We start from the raw sequence: 22,725 nt of genomic DNA, 5'->3' as shown, positions 1-22,725 counted from the left end.
CAATGGAAAGGTCATTAGTAGGAAATGCCAATTATGCAGCTATGAAAACATATCTACTTTACCTTTCTAAGATTCGGTGTAGAAGTTGACAGTGATCATGGTTGTTCCAGCATCATTTCTAACATCAGTTCAGAGTCCATTTGCCCTAACCATCCAGAACCACCTGTTGTTGTATTCCACCTGGGACCTGATGTCCCGTGTAATGTGCCAAGTTCCCTATTGCCCTAAATCTTTCCTCTGATTCGAACCAACACCACACCTGTACCATTTCTTTGGAGCACTGTTCTCTGTCTGGTAAGAACTACAGAATCTTAGAAGCAAATATCTGTTGACTTTTTTCCTTCTCTGAGAAAACATATGCTAATTTTTATAAAGGGCTTTTAAAGTCTGTCTTAACTGCAAGGGATTACAGTGGCATTAATGGTGGGAATTGTGATTAGCATTACAGAATAATGCAGAAATTGTTTGCACAGTGGAGCAGACTGATACCCCTCTATTGCCCTTCAATTCATGAAGTTTAAATGATCACCCACTCTGTTTATATTTTATGTTAGGTGTAATTCTTACCACATGAGACTTGCATTACCCAGCAGAAACAAAATGGATAAAATGTGGACACTAGAATAAGGTGCTCTGGGTTTGGAATCTCATCTTCACCTATAAGAGTCATGTGACTTTGAATTACAGATAGTTGTCATCTCTCATCTGTATAATATTTCATGGTTTCCTCATCTGCAAAATGGGAATAATAATTGTCTCTACCACTTAGGATTTGGGAGAGAATTAAATGACATAGATAGATAAATAGAAAGATAAATAGATAGGTACATATATACATATATATTAAATGACCACACATGCACACACACACACACATATCTGTATCTCTTAATACAGTGATACCTACTATAACCCTAGGTATTAATATAATAACTATATAACTATAACCCTAGTTATTAGTATAATATAATTCTTACTGCAGCCAAATATATAGACTAGAAATGTTAGAATTAATTTTCAATTAAAATCAAATATTATGAAGGAGGCTTTCCTCTATGAAGTACTTGACTTCAAGGCTTTCCTCTTGAAGTACTCAATTTGATTTTTCCTCTGGGCAGACAAAGCCAACTGTTTGAGCATACTCATGATTAGCCATGGATAGTTTTCAGTGGATGCAAAATGGTAACCATTCTTTAACAGAGAGCAATAATTTAAATTCTCCTTATTTCCCAACCACTGGGAAATCAACTAATAAAAATATGACCTAATACAAAGTAATGAAATTAAAAAACCCTTTAAAACTTATACTGGAAATGCCACTTTTAAAATAAATGAATGAAAAACAAATGAAATTCTAAGTTGCATATGTCAGTAATTAATAAGAGATAATGAGATATAATATTGAGAATTCAGAAAAAGGCTCAAGAACGAAAAGAGCTGCCTGAAAAATCTCTCATTTAGATCCAAGTATAAATACTAAGGAATAATTTCTAGAACAAAACAATAACAACAAAACAGATCTGTATGATAAGCCATTGAAGGCTAAAGTGCATGGAAAGAATATTAATATTCTTCATTATGTAGGAAGTTGTGAAACTTGTCATTGACACAATGCACACGATCTTATTTTGAGGCTCCTTACATCCTGAGGATATTTAATTTGATATTTATTGGATTATTTACAACTAGCTTTCATAATATACTGGGATAAGCATCTCAAGAAGATCAGAAAGTTATATTGTCCCCCAGATTCTTCTTTTTCATGGTTTCCCGGCTTGTGGGTTATTGTCTTCTTTTGATTTTGTGAACAGAATAACCAGCCATGCAAATGATTACTGAACATGTGCCAGTTTGGGCCCCACAGAAGTTTAACAAATTAGCTTCTTTTGATTCAATGCAAATTGCCATGGAACAGAAAAATGTGAGGTATTTGCACCCAGAGAGTGAAATTTCTGTTTAATTTTCTTGCTCCTGTGGATTGAACTTGAAATAGGGGAAAATATGTTTTCTCAATTCTCTGGCTCCCACAGGCTATGAGTTTAATGTCAGACTTGCCTGTCCATATATTGAACTCACACTGTTATCCAAACAGACCATTCTCAGAATCTCAGCATACAACTCTTTATTTTATATTTAGCAACCTGAGGGAAAGAGTGAGTGATAGAATAAAGCTATAAAATTAAGAGCAGGATAGAAAGTACTGCAACTCCTGAGGGAAAGAAATGAACGGTCTATTCATCAAATCTGACAAATGTATAAGTCCTAAGAGAAGATAAAAATATGAATTCACTTGAGGAGAGTTAAGCGACATAGATAATTTGACCTGAACCTATCCAATAACTTTAGTAATTACATGCTTTCTCCTGCTTGGTTAAGAAGTGGCTGCAGACAGAATCCACAGGTTTTTGAATGGAAGTGCTTATGTAAGCTATCTCTTAAAATAAAAATGGTGACTCATGCAACTTTGCTTAATACTTTAGCTCCTTATACTTTCCTTGCATAGCTTTCCTTCACCATCTAGCCAGATACTAAAGGATGAAGACATGGATTCCCCCAGATTCCTGTGGTCAGTTTTCTCCCTGAGTCAAAAGCTGGTGGGTTGTTTACTGTTGGGTGCATGACATTCTTTGTTCTATCACGGCTTTTTGCCTGAAAGCTTTATTATTTCTATAGCCTATCTCTAGGAGATTTTCTGTCCATTATTTTCTTTTAGGTAAAGTCCAACTAAGAATAATAAAAAATTGTTATGTTCTCTCCTTTTGTATAAGATTTGTGCAAAGAGGTAAATTATTAATCAAACTGTATTAGAGGGGTTTATTTTCTTCCCCTCTCTATGAGGTTCAAACAATTGGGATAGGTTGGACAGGAGGATCAAACATAGCATATGTACAAGGCTATAAGCCTTCCTGTTGTCATGGTAGTTGCTATATGGTTAAAAGAAATTGTAGAAGAGACGGATAATGACTTTCCTACTATTGGAGAAAAGAAAGACAGAAAGATGGGAAAGACATTCACACAGAGCCAAAAGGATTTTCTGTGCCATGATTGAAGCCTCTTGTAATCATCCAAGCAGGTCTTCATAAAGGCACTTTCCTCCATCCTATTGTGCATTAGTTTTGATTTGCCTCTCTCCATTTTCTGTTGGAGAGAAGTGTCTCTGCTCTTGAGGACTCTTGAAGAGAAACTGAAAGACTGCTATCATTTTTGCCATGAAGATGAGTTTTAAATAAAGTGCTCTAGAAAGCTAGTTCCTGCTTTCTGCTCAGATCCTTCTAAGCTAACCACTTCAAATGACTTTTAGTGATGAGGACATTAGCTGTAATAAGATACTAGCCTTGAAAATGCAGCTGCACCCATTGAAAGGTAGCGTCTGTTACAGAGCAGCTTGTTGTGTGACCAGAGAATCATTGGAGATTTCACACAATCTGGAACACACAGATGACACGTTTTTGTATCCTATCCATTGAAATTTGTACAATCAATTTCACCCAAATCTGCTGCTTATCCTAGGTTTTTCCTATTTTTCTTATCTTCAAGTAGTCTGACCATGTTTAAGCTGCCTGAAAATCTATACTTCTCTAATATTTTCTTATTATTTCTTGACAATCCTTTCTATTCTTAAAAAACAGCTCCAGCTAATTACCCATAGTTTAATTTTGTGCTTATAAATGTAAAAAAGAAATCAATAAGCAACTGAGGGCATGGTATAGAAATGGAGAGGAAACAAAAGCAATGGGGTGATTTTTTTCACGTGCTCCTTTTACAGTAGATATTTGGCTCCCTGAAAATGACATTAACTCGGTACATCATAAACTTGAATGTACAGCAGAATCATCTGGAAAGTGCTGGACCCTAACCCCAGAGTTTTTGAGTTTCGAAGTCAGAGGTAGAGTTCAATAATTTGTATTTGTAACAAGTTCTGAGGAGATGCTATTGCTGAGAATCACTGAAATAAGGAGAAAAAGGAATCATCAGTTATAAATTCCACCTGAAGACAAGATGCTCTATAAGCGACCTTTGCTCCCTTTGAAACTGAACAGCTTGGATGGTGCTGAAAAAGGGTTTATGTGTGTAGAAGTTTCTTTCCGGGCAAAATGGCAACTCTTCTGCCAAAATGTCAGATATATCCATTATTTCACTTTTAATTAGTTTCAGGGATGTGTTATGAAATTTAGCTAATTTTTTTTCCAGATATCACTTAGAATTTTACCTGGTCTCTGTTGGTATTGCTACTACTTGCTGTCAGCAGGTTCCAGGTGCTTTGGAAGCCAAGATTGAGCAATCTGGCCTCAATTAAGCTTGATAAATTGTTTCTGAATTAAACTGAGAAAGTTTGAGACAATACCTATAAGTGAAAAAAAAACTAAGCTAGCTATTTATGAATGAAAAACCTTTTATCTAAAACAATGTTAATACCTGAGAACATAAAATATTCAGAAGATTATAATTCTGCTTTTAGCTCTATTGTTTTTAAAACTTGGATGATTTATTTTAAAATATCTTAAATGTATTGTCTTGTTCTTGTCAGGCTGATTATTAACCATTTACACTGTTTACGGATCTCTGCTTCTCTCAGGTTATACTAAATTATTTTTGCCACTTGTGAAGAAAAACCTACTTGCGAATTCTTTCCCTGTTTGTTTGTTTGTTTGTTTGTATGAAATGGCAGCCTTGGCCTCATTCTTTCAGGCAGGACTCATGTCTTATTACTAAAGAGCTTTCCCAAGAAACTCATTTTATCATCGTCAATAGGATTTGGACAGCTTGCAGCCAGCTTCAATAATATTAGTTATCCTCTGGCACCAATTTAAAAAATAATATTATAGATAAAACAAACAGTATGGGAAAACAGAAAAAATAGGAAACTGATCTGATAAAATATTTTCTGTTATATATTTGTGCTCTTGATCTTGTTGCGTTATAAGTATGCACACTATTTTGTGTGTGAATTTTTTTTCACTTAAGTTCATTATAAGGTTTCGTTGTCTATCATAGTTATAAACATTTTGGTTAAACAAACTGTATTATTAAGCTCAGGCTCCCATAAAAAAAAATTCCATAGACTGAGTGTCCTAAATGTATTGTCTCACAGTTTTAGAAGCTGGAAATCCAAGATCAGGGTGTCAGCAGGGTTGGGTTCCACCAAGGCCTCTCTTTTTGGCTTGTAGAGGGCTGTGTTCTTGCTGTGTCCTCATGTGACCTTTTCTCTGTGAGCACATGGGAGAGATCTTTGGTGTTTCTTCCTCTTCTTAAAAAGACACTGTCTTGTGCCTGGCGCGGTGGCTCACGCCTGTAATCCCAGCACTTTGGGAGGCCGAGGCAGGTGGATCACGAGGTCAGGAGATCAAGACCATCCTGACTAACATGGTGAAACACCGTCTCTACTAAACAAAATACAAAAATTAGCTGGATGTGGTGGCGGGCGCCTGTAGTCCCAGCTACTTGGAAGGCTGAGGCAGGAGAATGGCGTGAACCCGGGAGGCGGAGCTTGCAGTGAGCCGAGATCGCCCCACTGCACTCCAGCCTGGGCGTGAGAGCAAAACTCTGTCTCAAAAAAAAAAGACACCATCTTGTCAGACAGAGCCCCATTCCTATGACTTCATTTAACCTTAATTACCTCTTTAAAGGTCCTGTCCTTAATTACTGTCATATTAGAGGTTAGGGCTTCAACATCCGAATTTTCGGATGACATATTCAGTCCAGAACACTAATTTAAGAACTTTTATCTTATTATAAAAGTAATACATGCTAGCCATGGAAAATTTCAAAACTTCTGAAAAAGTGTGAATTAGCAAATTGCAATAATCTGTATTACCATCACCCAGAGGTTACCATTGTTGATATATTATTCTCTTCCTTCAGGATTATCAAGCATATTCACTTTTTATATACTTGAAATCATTTTGCCTAAATGTAGATATTCCTTCCTATGGTTTTACCATTATATATTCTTATCTTTAATATTAAACTTCTGGCTTTTAAAATGTTACTTTTGCAATTATATTTGGTGTTGTAATGAACATCTTCTGCATCTGACTATTTCTTTAAGATATATTCTGAAATTGGTTGCTCAAAATTATAAAAACACTATTTTTCTTACACCAGCAATATATAAAATTGTACACCATACTGAAACCTGGCCATCATGTCGTAGTTTCATAACAAACAAAACATTAACAAAAAACTTACCATCACTGACCGTCATTAAGGCTACATTAATTTAATTGAGATAGAGATACTTGTGTTCTGTTTTTTGAGGATTTTGTTTTGTTTCTTCTTTGAAAGTTTTATACTGTCGGGGGAGCATTCAGCCTGAGAGCTTCTTTTTAATGTAATCTATATTTACTAACTTTTAAAAATATATATTTTTATTTTAAGCCCAATAATCTCTTTCAGAAAATTTCTTAGTATAGGTTTGAGCTTTCAACATCAACATTTAAATCAAATTTTTAAGTTAAATATTGTATTGTAACATTAAATCAAGTTGGGCATACTAGGTTTAAAGGTACTCTGAACTCACCCACCACCAGGTTATACATACTCTCACTCAATCATGTAAAGAATTGAATTCTTTATTTGTGATAATCATAAGCATGGCTATTCTATATTTCTATCCAGAAAGGCAATTTTCTCCTATTATCGGTTTTGTTCTTCTCTTATACACAACAACATGAATTCTATTGCATGAAAGGGCTACAAATATACATTTAGCCAAGCAGAATACACAGATAATTTGCTTTACAACTTGCACCTAAGATGTCAGTACACGTAGCTGGTTCATTAATTGTCATAGCAATTTGGGGCTAATGCCCAAGCTATGCATAGCAGTTCACATTTTCAAACCTCATATAGAAAGAGAGATTGGGATGTGACCTGGTAACTAAATTCCTGTGAAGCCTATCTCAGTTACAAATAAATCCATTTACTAACTTTTAAATATTTTTCTCTATATATGTCCCATTAGCTGAATTTCTAGAGAAGAGAACTTAAAGAAAAACACTATAGTCACGCAAGTAATGACCCTTCTTATCCTCAACCCCCAGCATATATGCACAAGGACAAACAGTATACATACAATCTCACCTGAGAGACGTCCTCAGACTTGTGTTGAAACCTTATCATGCTGCATTATCTCCCTTACAACATCCTTCCTGCCTTGTTTCTCATTTTCACACTATACGGAGTAAAAAAATATACAATTTCTATATATTATATATATAACCTCCATATATTTTATACTATTTCATATTTTTATACTATCAGATTAATGTTTTATATTTTATCTATCATTTTAAATATGCTATGTAAAGCATCTACAAAATTGGTCACCATTCCTATGGGAAGTATCTGCAGAACTCTAGAAATGAATTCATCTTTTGCTTACCCCTCCCTTTTTGAGGGGACAGGGACTTTCTTCTTTTCCCTCATCTTCATCTTCTCCCGTGGCATCATCCATTATGCATCATTCATTTTTTTTCCCTGCTCCCTATGGTCTTTGCTTATTGAAATACTCAACAGTGGCCAATTTATTGGAATTGAAAGGCTGCTAAAATACATCATCTCACAGAGAAAATGTCATTTATTTTTCCTACTTTTTTCTCTCATAGTGTCAGCTTCACCCAATCAGTGGATAACCAAATTATTTTTAACTAAATATAAAAGAAAAAAAAAAGACAATAACCATAAAGAAAACACCTTGATTAAAGCATTTTAGACATGAAGAAAAGATTGCTGTGAAAATCTTCTTTTCAGAGAGTTTGATTTTATGACCTTAGAATACAGATGATAGCCATGATTTCCAGTCTGTGTACCATGGAATCCTGGAGCACTGAGCAAACTCATGAGATACTCTGGGATATTTTAAATGTTGAAGGAAAACATAGCAATACTAGACAGATGTCATACACAGTGCAAACTACTAGCTTGAGGTAGTTCACAGTTTCAATATTAGATTGGCCTGCATATTCCTTTTGATGATATCTTATCTTTTTGAAGCTGGGTTTTTGGCATTTTTTTATGACAAAAAGCACAGGCTGCCTGAAAATGTGGCTTAGGAATAAAGTGATGCATTCAGTCAGATTCCAAGGATTGAGATGCTGTTCAGTGTCCAACAGGTATGCAAATAAAAATAAAATTTAAAAGTAAAATAAATTTTTAAGTATTGGTGGCTGCCTCTAAATTTCTAATAGCACATCTCAAGCTTTTCCTTTGTATCATTATTTTGTCATTATTTTTAAGCAAATTTTTAATTGTGGAAGAAATTAAAATTTTTTTCTTATAGTGTATTTGTGTTATTTTTCAAATGATTTCTATGTTGCTTGATATAAATATTTATTAAGTTATTTGTACTTCTACATAATAAACTAGACTTCAATGTATTTTTTTTTTTTGACTTAGGATTGCTGAGGGAAAATTCCTGAGGCATTAAATAAAGGATATATGAACAAAGAGTTTTGGAACCTCTGGGCAATGTACTGCAATTTCTTCCCAAACACACTGACCAGATTTAATGGAAAAAAAATAGTTTTCACTCAGGTGCCAGAAATTGGATCAACTGATAATAGATAAGCAATCTCTTTTTACAGAAACACAAATATCACTGAACTTAATGAAGAGTGTTTCCTAACAATGAGGTTAACCATCTTGTATTCCTATGCAATATTTCAGCATTATAAAACGTACATGCTCATGTTACAGATTTCAGGATCACTCAGTCTGTCAACCCCATACTCCGTAAATAAAATAATAAAAGAACAGAGGTGCTAAACAGAAAATGTGCCCACAAATATAGCTAACTTAAACATTTTTAGGGTAATTGAAAGATGTTTTGCTAAAGTAAAGTGGGGAGAGTAATAATTTTCTAAAAGTTGGGATAATCTTTCTTATGTGATAAATGGTGTGTAAAGGCCATGAAAGCACCATGTTACAAGTGACTCTAATATGTTAGCCATCGTCTGTAAGAATCTTCACAGTTTTGTGCACTGTGTTGATTTTCTTTGAGTGTCCTTATTTTTGCTTCCAATATAAATCCATCACGTAGTGTTCTTGTATGAAACAATGAATACAAAATATTTCTGAAATTGAAAACTCTGTAACAATCCATGACCCAACCTTAAAAAGATTTTGCTTTCTTTTGTTAAGTGTATAGTCCAGTAAAATATACATCTTTATTGTTGTATATAAGTTGCACTAAATATATGCTGTCTCAATGCTCTTTTAAAATAACATTTTGTTGAGCAGCTTGTTTTACATACCATAAAATAATAAATTTCTTTAAATATTTTGAACAAATATGTTTTTGTTTGAGAAAATAAAGGTCACTCGTAATCACCCATCTGTAAATTAACATTAATAACTTATGAATACATCTATTATGACATTTTCACACAAACATAAGATGAATCCTAATGAAGATGTGTTTTTTTACTTAACAATGACTTATGAGCATTTCACATCATTTTTCATATCGTCTTAGTATTCCATCAAATGGTTGTACCATCACTTATTTTACTCACAACTTATGGATGAAGACTGGGTTTCTTTCCAGTTTTGGTTATCAATTTCATAATGAACATTACAAGAGATGTATTTTTGCATTAACACATGATAGTTTTTGAAACAATTCTGAAAAGTAGAACTACTACATCAAACGGAAGTAAATTTCCACAAGTAGTGATAGATGTTGCCAACTTGACATTGAGGCAGTGGTTCTCCTGCCTCAGCCTCCCGAGTAGCTGGGATTATAGACGCACGCAACCACGCCCGGCTAATTTTTGTATTTTAGTAGAGACAGGTTACGCCATGTTGGCCAGGCTGCTCTCAAACTCCTGACCTCAGGTGATCTACCCGCCTCGGCCTACCAAAGTGCTGGGATTACAGGTGCCTCGCCAATATTCAAGTATATTTTTCCATTGCTTTTGACATGTAATGTGGCTGCCTCTAAAGTTCTCAGACAATGTCTCCCCCTCAAAGATCTAAACATCTTTCTCAATTGTAGTCTCAATAATATTTTAAAAGACCATCCATTATATTTTCTTCCACCTTGTTGATTTGCTTGTTTATTTTTTCTATCTAGAGATAAACAGTTTTCTTTCTCCTGATACTTCCCATGGTACGTCTAAGACTGGTTATCTGTTCAATGATTTAGCGTATAACATGTTAGGCTCTTTTAATCACAGATTTATTTTGGTAAAGTTTTGATAAATATTCTTCTATTATATCTTTGAATATTTCCACTTTCTAATATGCTTAATCATTTCTTTAAAAATGCTAATGATCCACAAGTTGCATTCCCTATCCCTATATTTCATAGCTGTCATCTATCATCTACTTCCTCAATTTATTTTTCATCTTACCACTCTTGACTCTGCATTCTAATAGCACATCTCAAGGTTTTCCTTTGTATCGTTATTTTGTCATTATGCAATATAATAAATGTTGCCCTTCTATCAGGGCAAATGAGTTCTATCATTCTGCAAATGAGTTTAGAGCTTCCTTGTATTCTTTGTAATTTTATTCTTACTACTTTCCATCTGTTCATATGAACTTTTTATCTCAGTCTCTTTTTATGTCATGGCTTTCTGTGGTCCAAAAGTCTATAGTCTATAGATTCTTTCATTCTACTGGGGATTGAAAACATTTTTCAGAGGACTTTATTTTTTGTCATTTTTTAGAGTGATGATACATTTCTTTGAATGACTTTTGCATTTTTTTCCCAAAGCCTTCTCCTTTTATTTTTATCAACGTGTTTAAAAATCATGATTTGGCTTTCCACAACAGAGGATTGTCTTAAATCTTACTATTTGAACATTTGATTCATGAAAATATACTTTGGTTTTCTAGATTGAAATTTGAAGGACAGAATAATTTTATCAGCACTCCTTTACAATTAATTAACTAAGGAGTATTTAGTACTTTTCTTCAAAATATTTTAAATGAGACACTTTTTAATGATCACATAGAAATAAAAGGAAAGTATAACTGAATAAAAACAAAAGTTAAACATCAAATAAAACAAAAATTTACTTTGCACTAGAGTATAAATTTCCTAATGGCAAGAGTTTTCCTTTTTGTCCCATTTTTATATATCCTGTGCCTAGTAGAGTTATCTAGATTGTAACAAGCAATCAATACTCTAAGTAAATACATACCTTGTTAAATCATTATTGAGTTTTGTTCAAGATTTTGTTTAGTGATTACCTATTAATTTCCTATGTTTTATCCCATTCTTTATGTATTATTCATAATACTTTGAGCATGTTAGCTATTCAGTACATATATATGTATATATTTTATTTATTGACACATAAATGACGTTTAGAATGGACTCATGCAGAACTTAAGATTTAGTTAAATAAAAAATACATTTTGACATTCAACATTGAATGTTCTACCCAACTGTGAGATTTTTATATGCAATACTGAAATGATAAGAATTACTGAGGCCAAAATAGCATGAATTAATAAATTGGATTATACAAAGCAGTATGTGATGTTTTTATCTGAAAAAATACAATAAAGCATATTAAGTTGTTACAAATTTAATACTCCTATGATATTTGGAGTGGGGGGAAGAGAAAAGATAAATTTTGCTCCTCTCTGTGTATGGAATTCCCAAGCAACTCATGTAGGTTAATGATACACTTAAGGGGCCTACATATGATTTGCATAAACTACAGCTGTCGAATTTGCATAATTTGTAAATGCAGCTACGCATAACCTGTTTTGTCTGTTTTCTGGTTCTAGACAAGGTTAAGTCCACCTCAAAATTTATCTTCTTGAATTTTTCCTATTAAGTTTTTTGCATTCACCATTGTTATTTCTGCTGTATCTTGCAAAGGCTGGAAAAACGCTGAATTAATAAGCTATGGGGCTCTGTTTAGGAAGAAAAACTGAGTTAGAATTAGTTAAAGAGGCTAGGTGTAGTGGCTCACACCAGTGATCCCAGCATTTTGAGAGGCCAGTGTGGGAGGATCACTTGAGCCCAGGAGTATGAGATCAGCCTGGGCAATGTAGTGAGACCCCCATCTCTATAAAAAAAAATTAAAAATTAGCTGGACATATTGGCATGCACCTGTAGTCCCGGCTATTTGGGAGATTGAGGCAGGAGTTTGAGGTTGCAGTGAACTATGATCATACCACTGCATTCCATCCTGGGTGACAGAGCAAGATTGTCTCAAAAAAAATTAGTTATAGTTTGATTACTCCTCAACCAATAAATGCACAAAAGCTTATGCACTTATGGATCTTAAATTTTATTTATTATCATCATTATTTCTTCCTCTCATTTTGTATTACTCAAACATTAGTGTGCATATAATTCTTCTAAGGATCTTATAAAATGCAGATTCTGATTCAGTAGGAAAGAGATGAGGCCTGAGATTGTGCATCTCTCACACAAGCTCCCAGGAGCTAGGAATGGTACTAATAAGGGAACCAGTCAGAATAGCAAGGTTCTAGGTCATGTGAAATGTGGCATCAAATTACCAATGACTTGTAAGTGATTTTTATTTGAAATCGATAAGAAGAGTATTCAAAAATTATTTTTTAAATTAAGTGGACTTAAAAAAATTTCTACTGCTAATTGTTGCTGCTTTTCATCTATCATTTAATGAGTATGAAGGTTATGTGACATAACTTACAGGTTTGTATTTATAAAATCAAGGCTAGAAAATGTACAAATATTAAACCTTTAGAAGCATTTAAAGATAATGCTTCTAAAGGCAAAAATAATAGTTTTCTTATTCCATTCACACTGAGAAATGACTACATATTTGTGTGTATTTGCATATGTGTATGTGTGTATAGATATATATTTTTATATATGTATATACAGTTATGTGTCACTCAATAACAAGAATATGTTGTGAGAAATGTGTTGATTTCATCACTGTGGAAACATCATAGAGTACGCTTACACAAACCTAGATGGTATACCCCACTACATACCTAGGCTATATGGTATAGCCTATTGCTCCTAGGGTATGAACCTAGACAGCATGTTACTGTACTGAACACTGTAGGCAGCTGTAACACAATGTAAGTATTTGTGTATGGGAACATGTCTAAATATAAAAAGATACAGTAAAAATGCAGTATTCTAATCTTATGGGACCTCCATTCTCTATGTTTTCCAACAATGTTTCAAATGTTATTTGGCATAAGATTGTGTGTGTGTGTGTGTGTGTGTGTGTGTGTGTGTGTGTAATTTGAGAGATTTAATCATGATTTAAGAGTTAATAAAATATTTTAAGCTTATAACCTTTCTTATTGCAACTTGATTTAGTTAAATAAATTGAAACTTAACCCTCAAATAATAAGTCCTGGATGAATGTTTTTGGGAAATTGGACTTAATTCCTGTTGAATTCAATATATTTTTCAATTGCATGGTGCTGGTCAAATCATTTAATTTGAACTCATTAAAGTCAAGAACCCTTCTATTGGGGAAAGCTGGCTGGTTGGGTTGTTAGGAAAACAGAACATAACTTAAACGGCCACAATTTAATAATTCAGCTAAACTTGTTTTCAAATATCAACATACTGATTAAAACACTTGACATTTGTGGAAACATTAATAATCTTGAAGTTTCTGGCAAAAGGGATGCAGAAGAAGGTAAGAGGGAGACAATAATTAATAGGGAATTTGGGAGGTGATAGGTTTTGTTGACTAATAGCTATTTGTTCCAATTATAAATAACATGGAGAAAAGTCATGAATAAAAATTTAAATGTCATATACGTCTACTTTTGTTTACTTTATCTTTTTTCTGTGCAAACCTATTTGTGTGAACAACACTATTTTATATATTTTAAAAATAATGGTAGAGTATATGCTGTATTTACCTTTTTTAAAGTTTAGACCTATGTGATTTCCCAGATTGTTAAATTACTAAAGAGTCAGTAAATATATAAATCTACACTTCAGCTTGCACTCTGGATTCTACCCTATAGGTAGAGTAGGGGTTATTCAGCCAGTTACATATATCTGGATATTCCAATTTGTTGCAATTTTTATTATTATGAAAAGTTCTGAAGTTAACATTCTTGTACAACATCCTTTTGTATATACTTCCATATTACCTTAAAATAAAATCTTAATAACATTTGTAGTTTAAAAATTATAGCATTTTAACATTATTAAACATATTGCTGACTTGTTGCCCTCCAAAAGGTTTTTACCTCGTGACCTCTTTAGCAGTAAACATGATTTTTCTCTATAGCCTTGCCAAGACTGAGTAGTAATATTAAAGTATTTATTTTCATTTTTGCCATTATGATATTTGAACTAGTAACATATGGTTGTATTAATTTGCCTTTTTTGATTATTAGTTTAAGCTAATTTTTTTCCTCATAGGTATGTGGTCTATGTGTATTTCTTTTGATTTAAGGTTTTTGATGATTTTCAATTGGGGTATGTAAATTGGAATATTATGATATTGGTTTATAAGAACCTATTGTACATTAGGGATTCTAACTTCCATATCTTTTAGACAGTCTCTAATAATATTTTGCCTGTTTATCATTTGCCTTTTAAAGCAATTTATGGTGTTTTACCATGTGATATTTTAAAACTACATGAATTAAACTCTCAGAATCTTCTTCACTATGGTTGCTTTCCTCTAAAAGTTTCCTTTCAGAAATGAGAAATTATAATTCCCAATATGAGGAATGATCCTATTGCAACCATTGCACTAATTTGAAATGAGGGACAGTTTACCTACCCTCTGCTGTTTTTCCTTTTATATATATATAAGAGGATAGCAGAGTTTGGTATGGGTTATCTTATATCAAAATAATCCAAATCTTCTTTAGGAACTATTCATTTATTCCTGGAAATTAGATATTTTGGAGGAAATCCTACTAGCCTTAAAATTGGAATCAAACACCTCCTAGAATATTTATCATATCATCTGTCAAGATATATGATTTCATAATTTATTAGTTTAAGTTTCATCCCTATTAAATCTGAATAGCTAGGAGGAAAAAAGGCAATTGCATGGTTGAGTTACTGACATTTTCGTCTAGTCCAATTTGGTCACAGCTATTGGGTTAAGAGGTCATATTTAGCACCACTAAAGGGAGGGACAGTTATTTTGGCTCCATATCTCTGGAGAAACTTTGGTAAACTGCGTCAACAGGAATATGTTTAAAGGACAAGGAGGGAGTTTTATACTGAAACCAATTTGCATACACATACCTATATGTTGGTTGCCACTGAATGGCGTTCTAAACTTACACTAAATATGGTATTATTATGCATTGGTAAGTAGGTATTTTAAGAAATACATAAATGTCTTCTACTTGTCTAGATATCAATCCATTCCCTGAAATATTGATTTCTTGAATTATACACTGCTGACTAAAATAATCCATGCATTTCCAAATCTGTAATATTTTTAAAATTACTTAAAGTGAGTAACTTGCTCACCTGGAAAAATAATAGTGCCTTGTTAACTCTCAATTATCCATGCTAATGGAAAGCAATCTGTCCAAGGATTTTTTTTTTCATTGCCGTAGAAATGTTAGAGGTCAAAAATGAGAGAGCCTGAGGACAGTCTGCAAGAAATGAGATTCTCAGGAAGACTCTAGGGATATGCCTTATGAATTAAGTTTCTTATTTTGCATGCATGGATAAGAATGAGAAGCAGAAGAATTCTGGACATATTCTCTGATGACCAACAGATAACTATGTTTTCAATAGTACAGGGCATGCTAGTGCAGCTACAACTAGATAGCTATGACCTGGTATGGGGAAGTCTGAAATCAGAGTGACTTCTTCCATTTGGCAAATATCAGTTAAAATATCTACTGTGTGCATGTACACTCCTGGGTATTAGGGTTACAAGATAAATGAGCTGGACACGGTACCTGAAATTCTATTGATGAGACCAAAAAAACCCAAGCAAAGTGAGTAAAAAATATTTATTTAAGGAAAAGTACTATGAAGAAAATAGGGTGATTTTATATAGTGTAATTGCACTGAGGGGCAACTTTAGCCAGTAGATCGGAGAAAGTATCCTATGCAGTGCTGTCGAATTGAGATCTTGGTGGAAAGTCATTGGAGAGGTTTCAATAACGAAGTGACTTGATGTTGTTTTCATATAAAAATGTGAATCAGGCTACTGTGTGGGAAATGGCTAGAGAGGGAAATAGTGAAAGAAAGGCAAGCTACCAGGCTATAGCATTCCATTCGTACAAAGAAAATAAATCCAGTGAGAAGGAAGTCAGCTGTTCTTATGGGCCTAATAAGCAATGGCCAGCCAAGTCTAATACGCACACCCTCGGGAGTGGACAGCGTGAGCATTTAGGTACAAACTGGTGGGCCCATTGTGGCTACAGATGAGAACATGAAGCAGGTTATAGATTTGGTGGAGAATACAACTGGAACAGGAGAAATAAAAACAAAGGAAAATAAAACGTCTATGGCTGTGATACTGAAGTTTGGCTGCACATGGGAATCATCTGGGATATATATATATATATATATGGAGAGAGAGAGAGAGTGTGTGTGTTTGGCTCTTGTTGCCCAGGCTGGAGTGCAATGGTGCAATCTGGGCTCACCGCAACCTCCCCCTCCCAGGTTCAAGCGATTCTCCTGCCTCAGCCTCCCGAGTAGCTGGGATTACAGGCATATGCCACCATGCCCAGCTAATTTTATATTTTTAATACAGAAGGCATTTTTCCATGTTGGTTAGGCTGGTCTTGAACTCCTGACCTCAGGTGATCCACCTGCCTCGGCCTCCCAATGTGCTGGGATTACAGGTGTTCGAGCCACCGCACCCAGCATAATTTTTTTTTTTTTTTTCTGAGACAGGGTCTCAGTCTGTCACCCAGGCTGGAGTTCAGTGGCATGATCACGACTCATTGTAGGCTCAACCTCCCGGGCTCAAGTGATCCTCCCATCTCAGCCTCCCAAGCAAGTCGCAGGGACCACAGGCATGCACCACCAAAACCAGCTAATTTTTTGTGCTTTTGTGGAGACAGGGTTTCTCCATGTTGCCCAGGCTGGATATTTTTTTAAATACTGATGGCTGACCCACCTCGCCTCCCCACCCTCCTTACCATCACCACAACTATAAACACACACACACACACACACCACCCAAGATTTTGATTTATTTGGTTTGAAGTGTGATCTGAACAGTGAGTTCTTAAAAGCTACCCAGGTCATTCCAATCCATGGCTACCTTTGAGAACCACCGGTTTTGGCAGAGCCCTAAGCAGACCACAGGAGTTAGTGGATAGTGAGGAAGAAAATAAGCTAAATGTGCATCTAGGTAGTGGTACCCAAAAGAGCATCATCGAGTATGGAAAGTCTTTCAGGACAGCCTTCAGATGTGTAATTCTTAGGAGGAATCCTAATTCCTTAGTATGCCAGGCCTCCAGAGTCAAGCAAATGTTTGAAATTCCTTATGAGAGATTTCTCCACTTTAGGGGCTTTTACATTTATGTAAATAGCACCTTTAAATTCTCTTCTGCCCATTTAAAATTCTCCGTGTACTTAAAAATGCATTTGTAACTACAGCACAGAAAATTAAACTTCCTGCATAAAGACATTTATAGATGCCATTAAATATAAAATTAGTATTGATTTGTAAATACTTAGGTCAAGACTAGTACTAGTATAAAAACAAATTATAGTCCTCTATTACATATAAAATACCAGCTAAATTTCATTTTCACTGTGATTAATGTATATTGGGAAAAGTCATAATCTGTAATTTAGATTTTTCTAAATTTATAAAGCCCGTTTTAATCCGTTACAAAGATTGCTGTTTATTGTGGTGTTTGAAAATGTTGGAACAGAGATGACCATGTTCTAAATATAAAAGTTAATTTGAAACAATTTAAAAGCACACACAAGAAACTGCTCTTAAAATAAAAAAAAATCAGTCATACTAGATATGAAAATATGAAACTATTATATTCTTAATTTTCAAGGCTATGAAAATACCATGCTTAGATGCTTTCTAGCACACATTTAAATCCTTTTTCTCTTCTTAAATTATTTATGTTTGTTTTTGAGATGAGCTTTGAATAAATAGGTTGTTTATGTATTTTCCTCTTCTGGATAGTCTGTTCAGGAGTAATTGACCATGAAAATGCTTTGGAGTGAGGTGGGGACAAAGACAGAGAATCCTTCTTGTGATATAGTTAGATTTAAGTTCTGCCATGACTAGTTTGCTCTGCTTACTAGTTTATGAAGCAGACTTCCAATCAGCACAGTTGTCACTCATAACCTCCAGGCCTTGGAGATATTCTATATGCCTTCCTGAAGTTGGTAAATTTTTTATCACAACACATTTATTTTGGCATACAACATATTCTGACTTCACTGATCCAAAAATATCTTAAGATTTTAAAAAAACTACAGTAAAGATGAATTCATAGCATTCTTTTTAAATTTCATTTTTAATATTTTAAACATAGTTATTCAGTTGTATTTTCCAGAATTGGCTTTTTTTCTGAAATTTTTAAATTCTACAAATTCAAACAGTAACTGTGTAATACATTCACCAATACCTTTATTGATTTAATTTCTAAATAAAGGAACCCAAAGACAGTATATTGAGTTTATTTCCTGATGTGTTTTATTTGTTAACTTTTTCCTCCAGTATATCTTCTATTCTTTTGAATAGAAATACAAAAATAAATAAAGCTTTTTTTTCTCTGCAGAAAGGGAGAGTTAAAAATAGTATCCTTTTTATATATATACTTAAATGTTTAAAATTTTAATAACTGGTGAATAATCTTGAGATTAATGAGTATACTAAAATGTAATAATTCCTGGAGCAAGGAGATACATACTGTAAAGGTTTTATCATGAAATTCATTCAAAAAGTTTGAAAATGCTGCCTACTCTTTTCAGCTCAATAAATCTATTTTTATTTTGATCCATGAATTCTGTCTTTCTAATGAATCTTTTTCAATGACACTGATTTTTCTTTTACATTTTCTATAAAGAATATAGATAAAAGGAGAATCCTAAAATTCCTAACATTATTCTCATTTTGGGTACCATCATACAACATAATTTTAAAAGCTTCACTGTTTCAATAAAAAAACTAATATAATCATGTTTATCTGACAGACCCATTGCTTTATTCATTATAATCAAATAGAAGAAGAGGAAATTTATGGTGTTTTGAGAATGCATGCAGGTTTTCTTTTTGTTTTTTCTTTTGAGGTGTGAATACAGTAATAAAATACTGACTAATGCTTGAAAGGCTTGAAGAAAGGACTAGCGGTGGAGTCCAAGGACAAGAAGAGATGAGAAGCTTTTTTTTCTTTTCTTTTCCTTTTGGTTTCAGAGGGAAGAAGCTATGTAAATTGGACTGGGAATTAATATCCAGCTTCAGTCAGAGAATAAGAAATAGCTTGAAAGTACAGAGATTGCTGATGTCACCTGAAACTTACTTTTAATCAAAAGCATCTTTCTAGAAATAGAAGGGCAATTATCACAGGTGGATCTGGGGTATCTTTCCCTTGGCCTGAGTGTGAACATCAAAGTTAGAGAAAAGAAGTTCCCAATGAAGACCTCCTCAAGTTGTTATACATTTGGGGATTCCATGAAAGGAGATGGTGCTTCGCTCTGGAAATTGGTAATTAACACTATATATCTCTACTGAGAAATATACCAGACATGTATAGCTGCTCCTCAGAATCAGTAAAAACCATAAAGACATTATCATCCCCTCACTGAGCACTCACTGGCTATTGATTTGCTAAACTGGTCTTTAGTTTGCCAATGCTTAGCTTCCTTCCGGTTACTAGTTCAAGATCCTGCTGTTGCAGGGAAGCTCCATTTCATATCTTTATAGCAGTGAAAAGTATCACCTAACTACTTCCTGGTTCAGATAGTGATGGGTGTTTCAAGCATCCAGGCATTATTATCACCTTCAATCCCCAGGATATTTTACAGCAAGTAAAGCCATACCTCACAGGAGGTTCATAATTTAGAGCCTCATTTAGTTAACCATTTCCCTGTTACATACATATGTATATGGACCAGAGCTCTCTTCATAGACTCCATTCTTCTTTAATCTGACTCAGTTCTATTCTCCTTAGTATCCTCTCATGCCTTCTCCCCTTACCTAACTAATCTAAATAAAATTGCCCTGTGTAGACACTAATTGAAGATATATAAACATGTCTTAAAAATCAAGATACTGAACTCTTTTCCTGGTCCCCATTTTTGTGTAATGGTATCATTCAAGTTTAGGTTTGATGAAAGTATTCCTATCATTAGATTCAGACATGACCTATAGTTATTTACCTACTAAATAATCACCAATAGTGCCATTTCTTTCCTGGGTGAAAACAGGCCTCAGGCAAATCAGACAGCACTCTTGACTTGTGTTGTTTCTGTCTCTAAAGTTGGGGTTAATTTTCATTCTTAAATTAATCTGATTACGTCAATAAAGAGACTCAAAATAAATCTAGGACAATAGGGTGCCCTTAGTAAATTATTACACACTTGTCTATTAGAAAATATTAAAAGTTTACAAGGTCTTGTTTTCCATATCAAGCATGAATAGGAATCAAGATTTTAATATTCATTTTGATAATTTCCCATCTGTATAATGAGGGAATAAAAATATAATTCTTTCTCTGGAATATTTGGGGAGTTTATTATAAAGGGCCAATTTTGTTTCATGTAAAATAAAATTAGTTATTTTCTAAATTCGTTTTATAAAAATATCTCCATCCCATTCTTAGATTGATTACAGATTTAGACAAATAAAATTAAGTCTGAAGATTTTAATAAAGGGCTTGAAAATTCATGTCTGTATTGAGACTATTCCTTCTTTCTAGAAGAGTATAGCAGCCCCTTAGCAGCTATAAAAGCCACTGTTTCTGGGAGATAATGAATTGTTGGATCAAGGCAGAAGTGATTTCAGCAATTTGTTCCATTCCCAGAAGTCAGAGCTTTTAAAAGCTTTGCATGTTTGCGTCTATTTGAAGGTCTACAGCCCAGAGCCTTCTGCTTTGGAAGAGGCCAGAGTGTTTCTACCACAGAAACCTAGTATATCTTCCATGTTCATGATAAAGCAGCACATGCAAAATGAAACTCACACCAGCACATATGAACTTGTTCCAGGGATGCTACAGAAAACCAAATTATAAAGACTACACTATAGAATAATATCAAAAGCACAGTACCTGGGGTGAGTTCAGTAAGACCATCAGGTTTCTTCTGTCACAGACCATCTATATCTGGCTGTGTTCAGATGTAGTGCCTTGCCCAGAGGCACTTGATAATGAGCGCTTGCCCAGAGGAAGAAGCTACACTTATTATCTTCCATCCGTGTCCTATAATAGAGAAACAATTAAATTGGGAAACTTGTGCTAGAAAATATATTTAGGGTTAGAGATAAAATATTTTTCCCATACAACTTAACAACAACAATAATGATGAATGCTTATAGTCATTAATCTAGGCCTTTTATATATATGATTTCTAATCATCACAAAAATTCTATAAAATACATGTTATTTTTACTTTTAGATGAGGAATTACTACTCATTGATATTACATAATTTACCCAAGGTCACACTGCTAGAATTGTACTAGTACCTTGGCAATAAGTTGCTAGTTATCTCAGCCTATAAAATGTAGGGCATATGGACATTAAGATTATAAATTAGCTTTGGTGTAATCAAATTTTATAATTTGTAAACTGGACTATGTTGTGCATCCTTTCATAGTTTAGGATGATTAAGAGTTTGGACCTTATAAGTAAACTGCCACATTTTGAATCATAGGCCCCAACTGGGTACTACTAGTGAATTCTCAGAGTCATTAATCTAGATTGTTTCATGCCTCTCCTTATCTTCATCTATAAAAATGGATAATAGGACTAACTGCTTCACAATCTCTTTGCCTTGAATTAGGTGAGATAATGCAAGAAGAACAACAAATACCATACATGTGATAGTCATTAATAAATTTGAGTTGTTATTATCTAATTATTAAGGAGAATTTAGAAAATTCATAAAAGCAAATGAAGAAATAAATCATTCCTTGCCTATTACCCAAACACAATGTTATCAAGGTCTTGTAATATTACCTTTAAAGTGATTTTAGAAGGCTTATTTAATCTAATTAGATTTATTTATTTATTTAGAGTCTCGCTCTGTCACCCAGTACAGTCGGGATATCATAGCACACTGCAGCTTCAAAGTCCTGGGCCCAAGCAGTCCTCCTGCCTCAGCCTCCTGAGTAGCTAGGACTACAGGTGCATGCCACCATGTCAAGCTAGCAAGCTTCTTTTAAAAGATCACATATTTGCAGAGTTGTAATCATAGTCACATGTACAGTTTACTACCCAAATTGATATTACTACCTGAGCATTTTTCATTTTCTTACATAATCTTCCAAAACATTCATTTTATCTACCACAAAATATTAAATTGAATAAAACATTTTTGCTGAATTTGTGGAGCTGGGCTTTTAGACCGGTTTTAACATTTCAGTGTAATATGTAATGCAGCTCAAAAGCTTTGTGCAAGTGGTTTCTGGATTTAGGATGTAGTTTTCTTTGACCCCATATCAACTTGTGGTAATTGATCTTAAGGATTCTGTTTGTGTGGTTTTTAAAAGAATATTCTCTCCAGTCAATTTTGGTTCCACTTATTATTTAATAAAATCGTTTGTAATATTCTAGCCTGACTCAGCTGTGCCAAGGACAAATAAGGGGAAGAGGTTTCCCTTCCTTGGGATAG

The 22,725-nt window shown here is 34.0% G+C and overlaps 1 protein-coding gene and 1 long non-coding RNA gene across 5 annotated transcripts in view; one reads left to right on the top strand and one right to left on the bottom strand.

Annotated features, from left to right (window-relative positions):
- The window catches only part of LRP1B (LDL receptor related protein 1B), a 1,899,594-nt gene that overhangs the window by 361,267 nt on the left and 1,515,602 nt on the right, over positions 1–22,725 (top strand). The gene's annotated exons all lie outside the window — the stretch shown is intronic.
- The window catches only part of LOC107985779 (uncharacterized), a 151,402-nt gene continuing 135,577 nt past the window's right edge, over positions 6,901–22,725 (bottom strand). For both annotated transcript variants that reach the window (XR_007087247.1, XR_001739132.3), the window contains 2 exons: positions 21,163–21,312; positions 6,901–7,174 (listed from right to left, as the gene is read on the bottom strand). This is a non-coding gene — a long non-coding RNA (uncharacterized LOC107985779). The remainder of the gene's footprint in view (positions 7,175–21,162; positions 21,313–22,725) is intronic.

Source organism: Homo sapiens, chromosome 2, assembly GCF_000001405.40.
Source record: "Homo sapiens chromosome 2, GRCh38.p14 Primary Assembly".
NCBI classification, from domain to species: domain Eukaryota; kingdom Metazoa; phylum Chordata; class Mammalia; order Primates; family Hominidae; genus Homo; species Homo sapiens.
The sequence above is the reverse complement of the archived record's forward strand: the minus strand, read 5'-3'. Positions and strand labels throughout refer to the sequence as shown.